The 16,232-nt window shown below is 38.9% G+C and overlaps 2 protein-coding genes across 5 annotated transcripts in view; one reads left to right on the forward strand and one right to left on the reverse strand.

Moving 5' to 3' along the window:
- RERG (RAS like estrogen regulated growth inhibitor) overlaps nt 1-13,688 on the reverse strand; it is a 113,635-nt gene extending 99,947 nt beyond the window's left edge. For 3 of the 4 annotated variants that reach the window (NM_001190726.2, NM_032918.3, XM_047429798.1), the window contains exons 1-2: nt 13,466-13,688; nt 9,700-9,874 (exon numbers count right to left, since the gene is read on the reverse strand). In NM_001190726.2, coding sequence (NP_001177655.1) covers nt 9,700-9,760 — 61 coding nt within the window. In that variant the 5' untranslated portion in view covers nt 9,761-9,874; nt 13,466-13,688. Of the gene's footprint in view, nt 1-9,699; nt 9,875-13,465 lie in introns of those variants that run through there. The other variant, XM_047429797.1, reaches the window with a different exon arrangement.
- Nucleotides 12,939-14,249, forward strand: LOC124902886 (uncharacterized). Its single transcript, XM_047429948.1, has one exon. It carries the CDS (start codon nt 13,516-13,518, stop codon nt 13,831-13,833), a length of 318 nt encoding a protein of 105 aa, XP_047285904.1. The 5' UTR covers nt 12,939-13,515; the 3' UTR covers nt 13,834-14,249.
- The last annotated feature ends 1,983 nt before the right edge of the window (nt 14,250-16,232 follow it).

Here is a 16,232-nt window from a genome sequence, read left to right on the forward strand (position 1 = left end):
TAGCTAGACTATAGAAGAAGAGACTCAGGCATGAGTCAAGGCATGCTGGCTATGTTCAATTTTGTGAAGGGCTGTCATAAGGAGAGGGATTTATCATGCTCTACGTGACACTGAGGGGATAAAGTTAAAGTCAATGCCTAGAAGCTACAGAAAAACCTTTGGTTCCAAAGAAGGAAAAGCAACAAACAGGAAGAACTGTTGGGATAATTTAATGTGTGAATCTGGCTGGGCTATAGTATCCATTGATTCAATCAAACACTAATGTAAGGGTTTTGTCGATGTAGTTAATATCAGTAGACTAGTGGTAGTAAAGGAGACTACCCCTGATAATATGGATGGGCCTCATCCAATTCTTGGACGGCCTTAAGTGAAAAAACTGAGGTTTCCTAGAGCAGAAGAAATCCTGCCTTAAGATTGCAACATTATCTCCTGCCTGAGTTTCCACCCTGCCAACCTTACAGATTTCAGTCTTGCCAGCTGCCACAATCAAAAGAGACAATTGCTTTGAATGAATGAATGAATGTGTGTGTGTGTGTATTCTATTGGTTGTATTTCCCTGGGGAACCCTGACTAATACAGTTGTGCAAAGGTGGATGTGCAAGAATGATCTACTTCCGGTCATGTTGCATTCCTGTCACTGGAGACAGTCAAGTTCAGGCAAGGAAACCACTTTGGTCATAATAAGGAGACTATTTAAAATATATGACCCTTGATATAATTTTAAAGCACGTGTGGCAAACTAGACAACATAGTCTAATTCAAATTTTTCATTTATTTATTAAGTCCTAGTATGTGTCAAATATTGTGTGAGGCTCTAGAGGTATAATGAACAGAAACAGCTACTGCTTTGCCTTTTTGGAAGGTACATGGATCCTGTACGATATGCAGGGATACCAGATCAGCTCTTCTAGAACTCAAAATTGGTGCTCAACAGATACTTGTTGAATGAACAACTGAATGAATGAATAAAAATATATTTTAAGATTGTAGGGAAATATATAAATACACACATATATACATACATGTACATACATGTTAATTGAGAAATCTGGCAAAAATATTAGAAGGTTTTAAAGCTTTAATTTTTATAACGATAAGATTTGATTATTAAAACATTATATAAACACACCATGTGTCCTTCTCTGATAAGGCGTAAGTCTAAGTTATTGTCCTAAACCCTCCTCTCCTTTTTGACTGCCCACTTTACATACTGATACTTAAAAAAAAAAAAATCAACTCAATGTCTCTTCATGTGACATATTTGAAACCAAAAATTCCTAAGGCATTGAAACTACAACCTCCGGATATGCTGTCACATTCCTCCCTGCTAGGCAGTCCATGGAGGAACACAAACAGCCAACTGCTGGACTGAGTGTATTCATCTGGCCTTCAGTAGCGGACAGCCAGAGAATTCACCATGCTGCTTCTCCAAAGACAAATGTTAAGGAACATAAGGGGAAAAAATGGATGAAGATCAATAATAACAGAACCTTACTATTAAGCCGACATTTGTATCAGACTTGTAATTTTTCAAAGTACCTTCAGTGCCATAATTTCATTTTGTCCTACCTGCATTCTGTAAAAATTGAAAAAAGAACAATTGAATCCATCATTGGGCAGATGAATAAAAGGAGATAAGGATGAAATTAAAATAAGGTTCTAATCCTACAGTCAATTGTGTGCGTCTTCATTATTAGATCATAAGGACAGGACACAGTGTAATGTAGGCTATTTATATAACAATGAGAAACATATTCTTTAGCAAAAGATGATTCATCAGTTTTTTTTTTTAACACTTGATCCGAGGCTATAAGAAATAGAATACTGCATTACAGGAGAACGCTCTTTTATATAAAAGTTGCTGAGAATTTTGGCTATTTTGGTTGATAACACACCTGGTACTCCCAGAGGGCTTTGCCATGCATTGGTTATTTATTGGTTACTGTGAATTTCTTATAAAAACAAAATCCATCAGGTTTTACAAAGTTTGTATGATAAAATTCTAATGGTCATTTCATTTTCTAATATAAAATATCTGAGAAGATGTGGAAAATAACTGAATGATACAAAATGAAAACCTTTGATAGCAAAGTTGCAAAAGCCTTGCATTGAGTCATAGACTGGAATGCTAGACTTGGCTCTAGCACCAACAAGCTGGGTGATCTCGCTAAGGATCTCTCTCTCACATGTATCTCTCATATGTATGGATAAGCTTTACATATTTGTTTATTCATGCTGAAATTATCTATTTCAGACTGCCCTGCCTTTACAATATAGCAACTCATTTTTCATGGGATGGAAGAAATTATGTGTTTTTCTGAAACCACATCAATTTTCAAAAGCAGCTGTAGCAACAGACATGCATTTGCACTGGAATTTTGGCTTCAAGGCCAGTACCACCTTGAAAATCTGGCTGATTTCCCCAAACCCATAAGTTGGAGAAATACCAGGAATAAAAAGGGGAATTACAAGGATGATTTAAAATGTTCTTCCCTCCACTTAAAGTTAGTCTTTTCAAGTTGCCAAGAAAACAAGTCAAGATCAAAATGGAATTAATAGATAGCTGGTATTTAACTACAGAAACATTGCAATGAATAAATTAGCCATTAGTTTAAAATAAAGGACAATTGAATTTTAATAATATATTCCAATAAAAAAGCAAGAACAGAGATATGTCCTTTTGGCTTTGAGAAATAATTCTTAATTTTGTTTTGTTTTGTTTTCCAGTATTGTTTCCCCCCCAATCATATTTTTCTTAAGAGAAAAGCCTTAACTAAGAAATGATCATTGTCAACCTGCAAAGTACTTAGCCACCTACCAGTAACAATTCACTTTCATTTTTTTTTCTAGATTTTTGTTTACTTTTATTTTCCTATGCCCTCTTAAGCACCATTTCTCTTTTTTCTTCCTGGGCATACAAGAAAGGTCAGTGATGACTTAAAAATTGCACAGAGGTCTGCCTTTTATACATATACGTAGGCATATACCTGCAATTTGAAAACATGGTTTAATTGGTCTTGGGGTAGAAAAAACAAATTACAATGGACTCATCTAGGCTGTTTGCCTCCTTTTGCTTTTCTGTCTTTGCAGGTAAAGGAAGATACAAACCCTGTAAAGCCACAGGTAACCAGAGCACTATATTTTAGGACAACAAAAAGGCTCCTTTTTTCTAACTACACCCAAATTTGTCTCAAAACCACCTCCCTCCCTTTGGTCCAATTATTTAAAAAACAATTATTCCTCTAACCACCAACTACACAAGAAATCAATAGGATTTCTGGTAGTCCTTCAATTTCATAAACCAACTAGGAAAAGCTTCTTTACATACACACATGTGTTAAGGGGCCATGCAAGCTCTGCATCCACATGGGCAGAGGGAAGCATAATCTGCCCCTCTTCTTACCTTGATTAATGTTTTTAGCAAATTTACCACAAAGATTATATAATCTTATGTCCACACTCCCATGTTCACTGCAGAATTTTTCACAATAGCCAAGACATGAAAACAACTTAATGCCCATCAATGGATAAATGGATTTTAGAATGTCATTTTATACACACACACACACACACACACACACACACACACACACACACACTATGGAATGCTATTCGGCCTTAAAAAGGCAGAAAATTCTATAATTTCTAACCACATGGATGAACATAGAGGAAATGATGCTAAGTGAAATAAGTCTGGCACAGAGAGACAAATACCATATGATCTCACTGATATGTGGAATCTAAAAAAGTCAAACTCATAGACACAGAGAGTGGAACAGTGGTTAACGTCACTGGGAGGGGTATCAGTGGGCAAAACCAAGGCATTGGTCATAGGGTACAAAGTTTCAGTTACACAGGAGGAAGATGTTCTGGTGATCTATTGCACAGAATGGTGACTATAGTTCACAATAATGTATTGTGCACTTCAAAATTGCTAACAGAGAGGATTTTAAATATTCTAACTACAAAGAAATGACACTTGAGGGGATGGACATGCTAATTCACCTGGTTTGATCATTCCGTAATGCATATATGTATCAAAACATCAAATTATACTCTATAAACATTTATAGTTACTCTGTCAACTAAAAATAAAACAAAATCCTTGAGTGATGGTGAAAAATATATAGAATCTTAGAAAATAATGCTCCAAAAGTTTAATGGCTAGTTGGGTCCTCAAGGAGGTAGAAACTGAGATACAGGGTTGTTGTCAGTGCTCACATTCACGTGGTATGCACAGCCGAGGCTACTTCTTATATCTGTGGTCCTCAAGTGGACCTGAAACCTATGTGATATTAGAGCCACGAATAAACTTTTTTTTTTTTTTTTTTTTTTTTTTTTGAGACGGAGTCTCGCTCTGTCGCCCAGGCCGGACTGCGGACTGCAGTGGCGGAATCTCGGCTCACTGCAAGCTCCGCTTCCCGGGTTCACGCCATTCTCCTGCCTCAGCCTCCCGAGTAGCTGGGACTACAGGCGCCCGCCACCGCGCCCGGCTAATTTTTTGTATTTTTAGTAGAGACGGGGTTTCACCTTGTTAGCCAGGATGGTCTCGATCTCCTGACCTCATGATCCACCCGCCTCGGCCTCCCAAAGTGCTGGGATTACAGGCGTGAGCCACCGCGCCCGGCCACGAATAAACTTTTTATATCTTCCTGAAAAGTCCATTTTAGTCACTGAGTTTTAGGGCAGATTGTTTTTATGTTTAAGCAAACATAGATATATTAGGGATTAATAGTAAGTTTTGCATATATTTTATATAACTATAAAACATGCAAAATACTTACATGATTATGAGATGCTTACACATCCCAAACCCCCTAGATTTTTCTTTCTCCTATTAAAAGTACTTTGAAAACAATATTCAGAAAGCATCCTACTATGCCACTTAGTCTGAGGAAGGGGAAAAATTGGTATATAGCTACTTAAATAGAGAAGAAGTTCTAAAACACAAAATGTAGTTCTATAGCATAAGAAAACTGACCTACCCAAGATGCGACTGAGGTTTCTGTTTTTTTATTATATATATGTGAGATCTCATAAATATATCTCAGCCTGAAGTATACATATATTTTAAAGCAGGTTTTGACGGTTATCTTAAAAGTCACATTTAAAATTAGAATAGTCCCTGTCCCACTTAAAAATAAGATGAAAAAAGCTTTTAAAAACTTCTTTATAATTGACAGAGAAAAAAGCAGACAAGAAAAAGAACAAAAAATAGGATGAAAAATCACTTCTCTTTGTGCCACGGAAAAAAATATCACAAGCTTGTTTGTGTTTGGCATCCAGTTTATAGCTTGGCAATCTGAGTCTATGAACTTAAGCCTTCATGGATGAGTGCACCAATTGGCTTTTGAATTACAGGATAGCATTACTCAATTAACTTTAAGACTAGCCCTTTCAAGCAATATAGTTAGCTGTGGCACACAATATTTCAGTTCTAAAATGAGAATGTCAACTGTGAAGCTAAATTTACAATTTCAGTTGTTTCTCTATCAGCCCCCTCCCACACTTACTACAAATCTGAATAATACGACTACAAGAAGCATTTAAATAAAAATGTGTGCATTCTAGGCTTATTGGCAAGTCTTATCACTTTAATTACTTGGAGCTTGTCAAAATATAGGCTGATGCACACAAGTAAGGAAATCTGTGCCTTGCATGCCACATTATTAGTGCTTCACCCTTAGCCAATGAAAGTAAATGTTTACCCGGCTGGGGCAAGAAAAGATAGAAAGGGCTGGGAAATCATGACCCTACACTTTGCAGCGTCCCCACAGAGTTCACTGTACTATCCCTATGCCAGCAAGCTCACTTGAAGACAGAACTGCAAGATAAACTTAGAAGGAACAAGAATTCCCCCAATACAGCAGACCATGTAAACACTTATATATTACACACATGTGCGTGCACATACACACATCCCTCACATGTTTTATCAGTGCTCCTTAGTAATCAGCACATTATTAAATTTTTGCCTTTGCTGACATGTCTGTGGTCAAACTGTCAATGAAAAAGTTCTGGTAAATGTTAAATTCTGTTTTAAATATAGACGGCCTATCTATCACCTGGGCTTAGGAAGCCATCTGCCACATACCAGAAGCACTTTCAAATTTAAAAGTGTTAATTTATTGGTGACACTAATATATTTCTGGCTTTTTACAAGATTAAATATAAGCCATACGAAGTATTGTTATGATCATCTGTGGTCAAGCTATAATTGACATTAACCAGATTTTAGGTTCAAGAAAGAGAAAAACAGAGAAAGTATGTGTGTGTGTGTGTGTGTGTGTGTGTGTGTGTGTGTGTGTGCGCGTGTGTGGAGTTTTTACCTTATAAGCTGTCTGACTTAGTGAAAACCAAAATACTCACTTGAATGCAAGTATATCTTTAATTGTATGTTTTCACTGTGGAACTTACAAATTAAAAAAGCATACCTTAACAAATTATAATAATATAAGCTAATTTTGAGCATTTGCAATGTGCCAGGAACACTTGCATGTAACAACTCATTCAATCCTAGTAACAACTGAGATGCTATTATATGTTCTTCATAGTTGAAGAAATCGACTGGTTAAGTAACTTGCCAAAGTTGCCAAGTTCACAGGGCAAACAAAAGCTCACACTCTTTAACTCCAAGCTATACGACTCCTCGTTAGCAAATGGGCAATATGGTCTTATTTACCCCCAATTCCTACTGGTATTAAGTGTGGGGAAAGTAGAGGGGACAGGTAAGACTTAAGCCTCTGAAACAATTCAGTGAGGAGCTACCGAATTACATTCCAGCAGGTATAATTTCTTGCAGACTTAAACAAGCAAAAGTTACCTATAAGACTGATAAAGTCTCTGCAGTAGAAAGATAAATGTGTGATACAATGATGAGGCAGAGACATCAAATAGCCATATTCACAAAGAATCAGAATCAACATAAATTCAATATTGTTGCAGTCTATTTTCAAAATTGTTGCATATGAGCCAGGTGTGGTAGGACACACTCGTAGTCCTAGTTACTGGGGAGATCAAGGTGGGAGGATCTCTTGAGCCCAGGAGTTGGTGGCTGCAGTGAGCTATGATCATGCCACTGCACTCCAGCCTGAGCGACAGAGGGAGACCCAGTGTCTTAAAATAAAATTGGTAGATATGAAGTAGTTTGTGGTCGTTTTCACTGAACTATGGAAAAAGGTTTCACAATTTTCACCCATGCATCAAACGAGTGCTACTTTTAAAATGTGAGGTGCAGTTACAGGTCTCAGAAAAATAATTTAATGTTGACATAGGAAAACACTGTCTGTTTATAGATGACAGACAAAAAGGCAATTGTTAAAGATATGTAGTCTGTCATTGTCATTTTCACCTAAATGAAAACAAACACAAATGGTGGAATGTATTCAAGGCAAATAGAGAAAACAGTCCAAAGAAGATTTGAATGTTAGAGTTGGAAAGAAACTTAGTGAGCAATTTCAACCTGTGCATTTTACATAAAATAAAATTCAGGTCAGCAGAATTTGATCTCTCTGTGCAGGTGTTATCTTCAGCTTTGGGTGTGAGTAGCACTTCTAGGGGCAGTGTATGGAGTAAGGACGCAAGAGGATGATATATAGAACCCTGGAAGCTTCAACTTTGAGAAGTGCGCAGACGAAGAGCAAACCCATGAAAACAGCTAGTTAGGAGCTACGGAGAGAGAGCAGCAAAGCCAAAGAGTGTGATGTCATGGGAGCCTGGGAAGGAAGGAATTTCAGGAAAGAATAAGCAGCTGTGTGATGATAGAAAGAAGTCTAAGAAGATCAGAACTGGAAAATGATCATTAGATGTGTTGGTCATTGTTTGGTAGTGACCTTAGCAAAAGCAGTTTCAGTAGCATGGTTGTAACAGAAGATGGCTATGTTTTAAGCAATGAATGGGAGAGTTAAAAAAAGATAAGACAGTAAGGGAAGAACCCATATTCAATAAGCTTGAAGAAAAGAAAAAGATGAAGCAGTGGACGAAGACATGCGTGAGGAAAAATGGTCAGGTGAGAATGAGAGGAATAATTGAAACAATGTGGGGAAAGGCAACGAAAACAGGCATCCCAGCTCAGGCTGATGCATGAGCCTTGACAGGAGGAGACACCCAGCTTGCTCCGAGATCATGAAGATGGGAAACGGATGGACGCACGTACAGCTACGTGGTTCTCTCAGCTGAGTTTTCATTTTTATGTTTGACTTCTTAAATCGCATGTAGGTTATTTTAACAAATGATACAAGGTTTTAAAAAATCTCCTTCCCTTATTGCCTTTGGAAGTCTGGAATGAAGGAATAAATGGTCAGCCTCAAGCCTAGACCCTGCACTCACAAGGAGTTAGACAAGCTCTTGCTGGCAGTGCACATCTTCTCCCACACTGCCTTCCCTCCATCCTCCACTCACAGGAATCATTTCCTCATTCTCCAGATCCTTCTACCAGCTACAGAAATTAGGTTCTCACGCCATTAGGAAACACTGAGGAGATTAACAGGGAGGAGTTTAACTATCTTCAATCTTGTGAAGGCTGGCAGTTTCTTAGCCTTGCCAACTATCTATTTTCCTTGTGTGGTTTCTGCCAGAGGCAAGAGCAAACCAAACAGAAGAAAATGGTGGTAGCAGGAAAGAGTACTCTTGAGAAAATTAAAAGAAAAACGAGAGACAAAGACTTAGAAGAGGGAAGATTACTGCTGAAATTAAACCAGACAGCAGGTTAGAAAAGAAAGGTTGGTCACAGAATTAAAAAGCAATTATGTGTATTTGTCTAAGATTTTGTGGATTACCTAATGTATTGGATTATACAGTTTATTTCCAAACAGGTTTCCCTCTACAAACATGCACCTACCAGATATCTGTTTGAGTCCTTTCCTGAGAACCAAAAGCTCTGTGTACAGTTAATTATGGTTCCTTCCTCCAGTAAGAGACTAAGGCAAGAGGTTACCCTGAAAGGTCATGCTGCCCTAATGTTTCAGCAACGTTGACTTTGGAATTCTTTAATTATAAGATCGAAGATGTATTTTTCAAATTAGATAGCAGGTACATTTTTCACTTCCACCATTTCACCCTTAATCTTAAAGGTCTGCTAGCGATTTCTCAGATAGTGAACAAAGTCTCTGAATTACTGATGTTAGCCAGAACTTGCTAATTTAAATTCACTGCAGAGGCATTCGCAATAGCTATCTTGCTTGAGAGCATGCACTCCTAAAGTTTCAGGAATCCTCTCAGGATTTTTGAGTGTTTGGCAATAATGCAATTCTGTTTCTGATAAAGCTAGATTCACTTAAGCATTTTTAAAGCACCTAACACATGCTTGACACTGGACTGTTTGCTGAGAATATCAAAATGAATGAGATGTAAAATCAGTCCCTCAAGATCTCATACATAGAGAAAAGAACAAATATATATTTTTTAATTTCCATCATCTGATTTCTTTGGAGGTTGTTAAAAATCAGAATGCCAAGACCTCTGATATATCCTTTATCTTGTGTGTTATCAGCAAAGCTACTTCAGCATAAATAAGCAAAAGGATACGTAACAGTCGATTACGCAAAATAAAAGTTCTAGATGAAGAGACTTTATCTAAAAGAGTAAGAAATGAAAATAGGAGGAATACCAACTACTCACCTGCCCAATCCCAAGAAACAGTAATAAAGAAACACACTCACCCACACACACACACTATAACAACCACAACGAAAATCTTACCTGACTTGCCCACGCCTGCTCTCCCAAATATTGCCAGTTTGACCTCCGCACTTTTAGCCATGATGGGTGTTGGTAGACAATTTACTGTTGTTAAAACTAAAGCACTGAGTAAATCTTTTTGGTTCCAGTCTTTGGATTCACCATATCATTGTGAATCTTGGAAGAGTCCACAATCCTTAAACAAAAGAAATTTGGGAATTCATAAGTGACTGGAAAATGAATTAATATTTATTGAGCATCTACTATATGCCAGCCACCATTCACTTTTTCAACATTTTCTGGTTTGATCTTTACCACTATCCTGTGAGAAGTCTATGGTAACTTACTGTAAATGATTTAACTAATAAATGGTAGATTCAGGACTTGGATTTGGATCTGGTTGGTACTAAAACGTGCATTATCACACACAATAGCATTTCTAAAGTACTTCCTCAAGAAATTTTCTTATGAAGGTATTGATTCTTGATAGTAACTGAAAGTAAAAGTGAATACACACATTTACCATCTATCTGTAAGCATTCAGTGTACAAACACATGCAGTGGGGCAATGGAGAGAGTCACTTTTGGGCCTCTTCATGTCTCTTTGGGTTGAATAACATACATTCATATTAGTCAACTCCAATGCAACACAATTCAATTTTGCATCTCAAAGTTAAATTTTTTCTCAATTCACACTTGATCACATGATGAATTCCTGTGACAGATACAGATACACATGTTCTAGGAATCAATATATAATACATAGATTACATTTCTATATTTTGCTGGACACAATGCCCTGGTACAAAAACGATAAATGCCATGCTCCAAGTTATTCCTTTTCTATGATGACTTCAAGTAAATTTGTTTATAGTGCTGTCTTAAAGCTTGGGAAATAACATTATGTACAAAGTAAGCACATCTTATTTAGTTTGGTGCTTTAGGAGTGACATCTAGGTTCTTAGGATCATGGAAACGTAAATTTGGAAAGAGCTTTGGTGGTGGTGGGGGCTGGAGTGGGGGTCATCTGAAGAAATCTTCTAGCCATTCTTCTAGCAAGAATCTTTCCTTAGGACATAACAATCATTCCATATTCCATGCCTGACTTACCACTTCCAGGTATGAAAGGTGGGCTCATTACTTCTGAAAGCTGCTTCATTTCTCCAATTAGGAGGAACTATCTTTCTAATATTGAGCTCTAAACTGTCTCCCTGCGGCTTCTACTCATTTGTCCTCATTTCTCTCTATGAAATAACTCAAAACAAGTCAACTTTTTCTTTCACTCAGAACCGTTCAAGGATCCTAGCATCTAGTAGGACCCTTTGCTCCATCCTAGGCTTCTTTTTTCTAGGAACATGAGGCCCAGCCTGTCCACTTGTTCTTCCCGGAATGTACACTCTCGTTTATGTTTTTTTGACCTTCACTCCCTTTTTCATCATGTGCATTGCCTCCTCAACATCTTAATCACTCTAAAAGCATGGTGTCCACTGCATTCCACTTTGAGATATGACCTGACAAACTGACCCGGTGTAAATTCCCTGAGATTTTCACTATCGTTAATCTGCCCACCATGGTTATACTGTAGCACAGCCAATCACATTAAGCCTCACATCTTTTACACGGACTGCAGACCCCCTCATTCCGAACATTTGCAATCAATGGCTTAAACCTAAATACAGCACAGCACTTTTACCCGTGTTAATCTTAATCACACCAGTCTGCATAATTCATTCCATTTTCAAGGCAGTAAAGATGTTTTAAACACAAATATGTTATCTAAATGTGTTAAATGTTCCTGCCAGATTTTTCCATCTATAAATTTTTACAAAGAGCTTCTTGAGAGAGAAATTAAAAAGTGAAAATCCGCCTGAAAAAGTATTTCTACAAAGACATTATCATGTAATTGTTTTCTTCCTTAGGTATTTAAGCTATCATCCTGTACCTAATAAGGTTTTGTATTTGCTGATTTTCAAAGTGCCAGAGCTTCCTCTGAAGGAAGGAAAAATCAACATTAACATTAGCTATTGTTTACTTCATCCTCAATAATGACAAAGTGTCTAAGTAATCATTATTAGCAAAAACCAGAAGCTTAAACATCTGCAATTTGTCCAGTCCCATATTTTTGGCTAAAGATAAAAAGATTTCCTTATTTGTCACTTTAGATGCATTCATTAAGAAAAGGCCCTATGTTTTTAAGGTTCAGGGCTTCATCACAGAAACATAATATGTGGAGATATATTAACTATTTAAATTATAAATGAGAAGAGGTGCTGGCAAGTATTTCTTTGAAACATTGAACACGCAAGTGTCTGCAGCTAGTATAAACAATAATTTTGTTTCATGCAAAACTGTTCATATACATGGATATAAAATGCAAGTAATTATCTGTCTGATTAATGTTTCATGAAAGTAGCCATCAAATGTGATTTTAAAAAAATGACAAGTCACATTTTTTAGTAACTCCCAAATGGCCCCAGAGGCATAGGAATTTCACATAAGAAAGAGAAATTGTGTGGGCTATTTTTTCCATTTATAACCTAATAAAGATACAGCTGGTTATTGTCAACCTAATTTTATGTTTAGAAAAATCACTTAAAGGAAGACACAAAACTGACAGGAGTTCTTCAACATTTTATTTCTCACATGAAAATGTGAAAAGTTACATTTGACAAGATAGAAAACAAAAATAAATATGTAAATTGTTGTAATAAGTAAACTGTTGCCAAGTTTCTGATGTTCCAAATAATTCATAATCTGAGAGCTTCCATACGTGGATCTAAGAAAATCCATTTGTCCTAATGTTCTGCTGAAATATTCTGAGTAGGGCTGAAATTTGCCATTCACTTTTTATGTGGATGGTGCTTATTAGGACAAAAACATCTCAGCTGCTATCACTCTAAAGGTAAAATCATACCTATTTAGTTTGAAGGTGTAGGTTTTTTTTTCCCTAAACATAAATTAAAGGAAAAAGGAAAAACGCTAGCTAAAATCCTGTATTATTAGTGATGCATTCATTGATTTATTCCACACTTTCACGCTATGCACATACAAATAAAAGTAGTTCCCTTCGAAGAGCTTACACTCTGTTAGACCTATGATATTTAGATAACTGTAACCTTATTTACTTACTTATTTAAAGAAAGTTTTCATTCCTAATAAATCATTCTCAAGGCTATATTTATCAAGGTTCATGCTTTCTACTTCCTCTTGGGGGTGGGGCAAGCAAGCGTCTTTATAAGGTAATCATGCTTGGAACTTCTGTTTGCATGCGCTCATCAAAATCAAGTGTAGCTATTTAGGGAAGCAAAGACCCTAGTCTAGGCCTGGAAATGAGATTCTCTTCTTTTTTGGCCTCCCCTTCTCTGGTTCTGAAATCAAGTTTTCCTGGTCTCATTACTAGGAATTCTTCCTCTTCTTATCACTACGCAGTACCCACAGCAAACCAGGATAATTGTATAAGCCCCTTGGCTATTTAATGTTGCTCTGAACTCAACAGGTATCTTGCAAGAATAAACAAATCCATTGTGGACTGCAAGTCACTTGCTTTCAGGCTAGGGAGAAAATGCAGCCTTAAGTCAAAAGGGCATTTTCCCTCTCAGCTAGGAGAGCCCTGTCAAGATAGGCTGCTGGTGTTCACATCTCCCTCGCAGCGAACCCCAAAGCCGCCCTGGGAGGAGAACCCGGTGACCAAGAGGACCGACTCAGAGGCCGAGCGCGCTCAGGGCTCGGAATGGGTCTGCAGGAAGTCGTCCCGAAAGAGCTGCCTGGACACGTGCGTGACACTCACCTGTTCACACTCTCCAGGCCAGGAGAGCTACGGTCCTCTGCAAGTTCGGAATGGGTCCCCCAAGATCGCGAAGCCCTCCCACACTGCGCAGCCCAGGCTTCAGGTTGCGTTTGCGAGTTGCTGGGCTGCGGTCGTGGGTGGGACTCGCCGCAGAAGCAAGTGCCAGTGGCCCGGCGGGGGTCTCCTCACTCGCGCTCGCTCCGACTAGCGGCGGAGGGACTGCGGCAGGACGCGAGCTGAGCCCGGCCAAGGCCGCTGCGCTCAGCGGCCAGGATGCTGCAGTGCGGCGCTTCGGCGCCCCCTACTGGGGGCAGGGGCAGGCTCCTCCCGCCGCGCTGCCTCCCAGGCTTGCGAGCTTGGGTCTTTAACGTGCTGCACCCAAGACGGGCTTCCCTTTTTCACTGGTTATTTCCAAGCCTCCAGGCTCCCACCGAAGGGCGGCTTTCCTCGGTCAAAACCTTGCCTAAGAAAGCATCACTACGTGGTGTTTTCTATTCCTTATTTCAAATGATCCTCGCAATATCTCTTTGAAGTATCTTTAATTATCTCCATGATACCCAAGAGGAAACTGAAGGAGAAGGTAACGCAAGGCTAGTAAATGGCTGGAATGAAATCCAGACTGGATTGGGAACTGAGAGATGCTAGGAAAAACAAACAAGGAATTCAATTGAAATTCTATTCATATATTTGAGAAAGTTCCAAAAGCTTCTCGTCCTCCTTACAGGATCAGCATTTATAGGATTTGCATTGGAGTCATACTCCATTATGCTCAGACCCTAACAAAGACAATTAATATGCGAGCTGTGCTGGACCTGCTTTCATATCCCTCATCTGATTTGATTTTTACACCCTCTCTTCATGTAAGAACTAGTATTATAATTACTAGCCTTTCACAGATGAGGAGGTGAGCTTCAGAGAGGCTAAATGATCTCCCAAAAACTGAAACATCTGAGCAAAGAAGCAGGAGGCACTTATGTTATTGTTTTTCCCTTATAAATCTGGGTATTCTTACCAAGATACCAAACGGCTTCCAGAAAACCAGTGTTATATAGAACAGACAGGGGCCTAGGGCAAACTGAACGATCTGTAGAATGTCATCAATGGGAAGGGAGGTAACCATGGAGGCAATTTCCAGAGTCCAGACTGACCTGGAAGGTCACTGCAGCCACGAGTGAATGGCTGAATGGAACAGCTAGATCTATGGCAAAAAGAGGAGTTGCCTAGCTGAGCAGGAGCTGCCCTGCTGGTTCTTTGAGAAAGCTCAAACATTGTATGGTTTATGAGTTTCCTGATCACTAATGTACCCCTCCCTCCACACCACATACATCTGGATTAGATGCCTCCCTCTGTATCTCACAGGACCCTGTGATCTTATCATTGTGTTTGTGTTGTACTCATTTCTGCCCCTTAGTCCTCTCCATTAATCTGTGAGCTCCCAGAAGCCAGGAATGTACCATGTGTGACTTCTGTATTCCCAGCATCATCCATACAGTGTGTATACCTACAGCCTGGCATATAGTAGGTAGTTAAAGAATACCTACTGAATTGAATGAATTAAGATAAAGAAGAAGTTGTGATAGGATATGTTTGAGCTTTTTTACATACTGGATTTAGGATAGACCATCCAGTAAGAAATTGAATGTATGGGGCTGCGACATTTAAGAAAGAGGCCTGGAAAAGAGAGAGACTTTGGTGTCTTAGCATGCAGAAGATCTTTGAAGTCTGGGATGGGATAATAATTACCCAGATTCATTATATAGAATCTTACAGAATTCCAATTACATGGAATCGTGTGGCATTAAGGTGTTCAGGTTTCACATGTTACCTTGTTTCCCCCATTAAATCTTATACTCAGGGCAAGATTTAATAAAAAAAAAAAAATCTGTGACCCTATATCTGTAAATATACTATTTACAGAGACTTGAGTTGGAATTCCCACTTTGCCACTCTTATTTAATAAGAGTTATTGACCAGCCTGGGCAACATGGGTAGAGACAGCGTCTCTACTAAAAATACAAAAAATTAGCCAGGCGTGGTGGCACGCATCTGTAATCCCAACACTTTGGGAGGCTGAGATGGGCGGATCACCTGAGGTCAGAAGTTCGAGACCAGCCTGGCCAACGTGGTGAAACCCCATCTCTACTAAAAATATAAAAATTAGCCAGGCGTTGTGGAAGGAGCCTGTAATCCCAGCTACTCCAGAGGCTGAGGCAAGAGAATCACTTGAACCCCAGAGGCGGTGGTTGTAACAAGCCAAGATCGTGCCATTGCACTCCAGCCTAGGTGACAAAAAGAGACTCTGTCTCAAGAAAAAAATAATAATAGTAAGTTTTCGAAGAGGGCCCAAGCCAGGTCCCATTTGTAGTAGTTCTTTTGGAACTTGCCTATGGAACCTGATTCTCTCCATTTTCCTGCTTAGCCCATATAACAACAGCATTCCTCCCTCAACTAGGGAGGCATTTGCATACACATCTGCAGTTCTTGATGTGCTGCTCTAAGATAGATGAAGTAGCTATCTTGGAGCCTGACTCCCACTGTGTTACATCTTCCGTATGTATCCTATATTCTGCGGGCTGCTTCCTTTGTCTCTAAAGCAGCAAAAAGAGGCACGCTCTCTTGTGCTGCCTGCCTCATGGATCAGTAAGAAGGGCAGAGGACACTTTGTACTTACGGTTCCATGACATATGTTTGCTGGGCAAGAATTCTCCTGGGGAAAGGGGAAGTCCTTGTCACATTCAAGTCTCTTAGCCTGGCCTTAGGCTTCAGC

The sequence above is a fragment of the Homo sapiens genome, chromosome 12 (assembly GCF_000001405.40).
Source record: "Homo sapiens chromosome 12, GRCh38.p14 Primary Assembly".
Lineage (NCBI taxonomy): Eukaryota > Metazoa > Chordata > Mammalia > Primates > Hominidae > Homo > Homo sapiens.

Coding starts and splice junctions, on each gene's coding strand:
- LOC124902886 (XM_047429948.1), top strand. CDS start 13,516: ATGGGTCCCCCAAGATCGCGAAGCCCTCCCACACTGCGCAGCCCAGGC.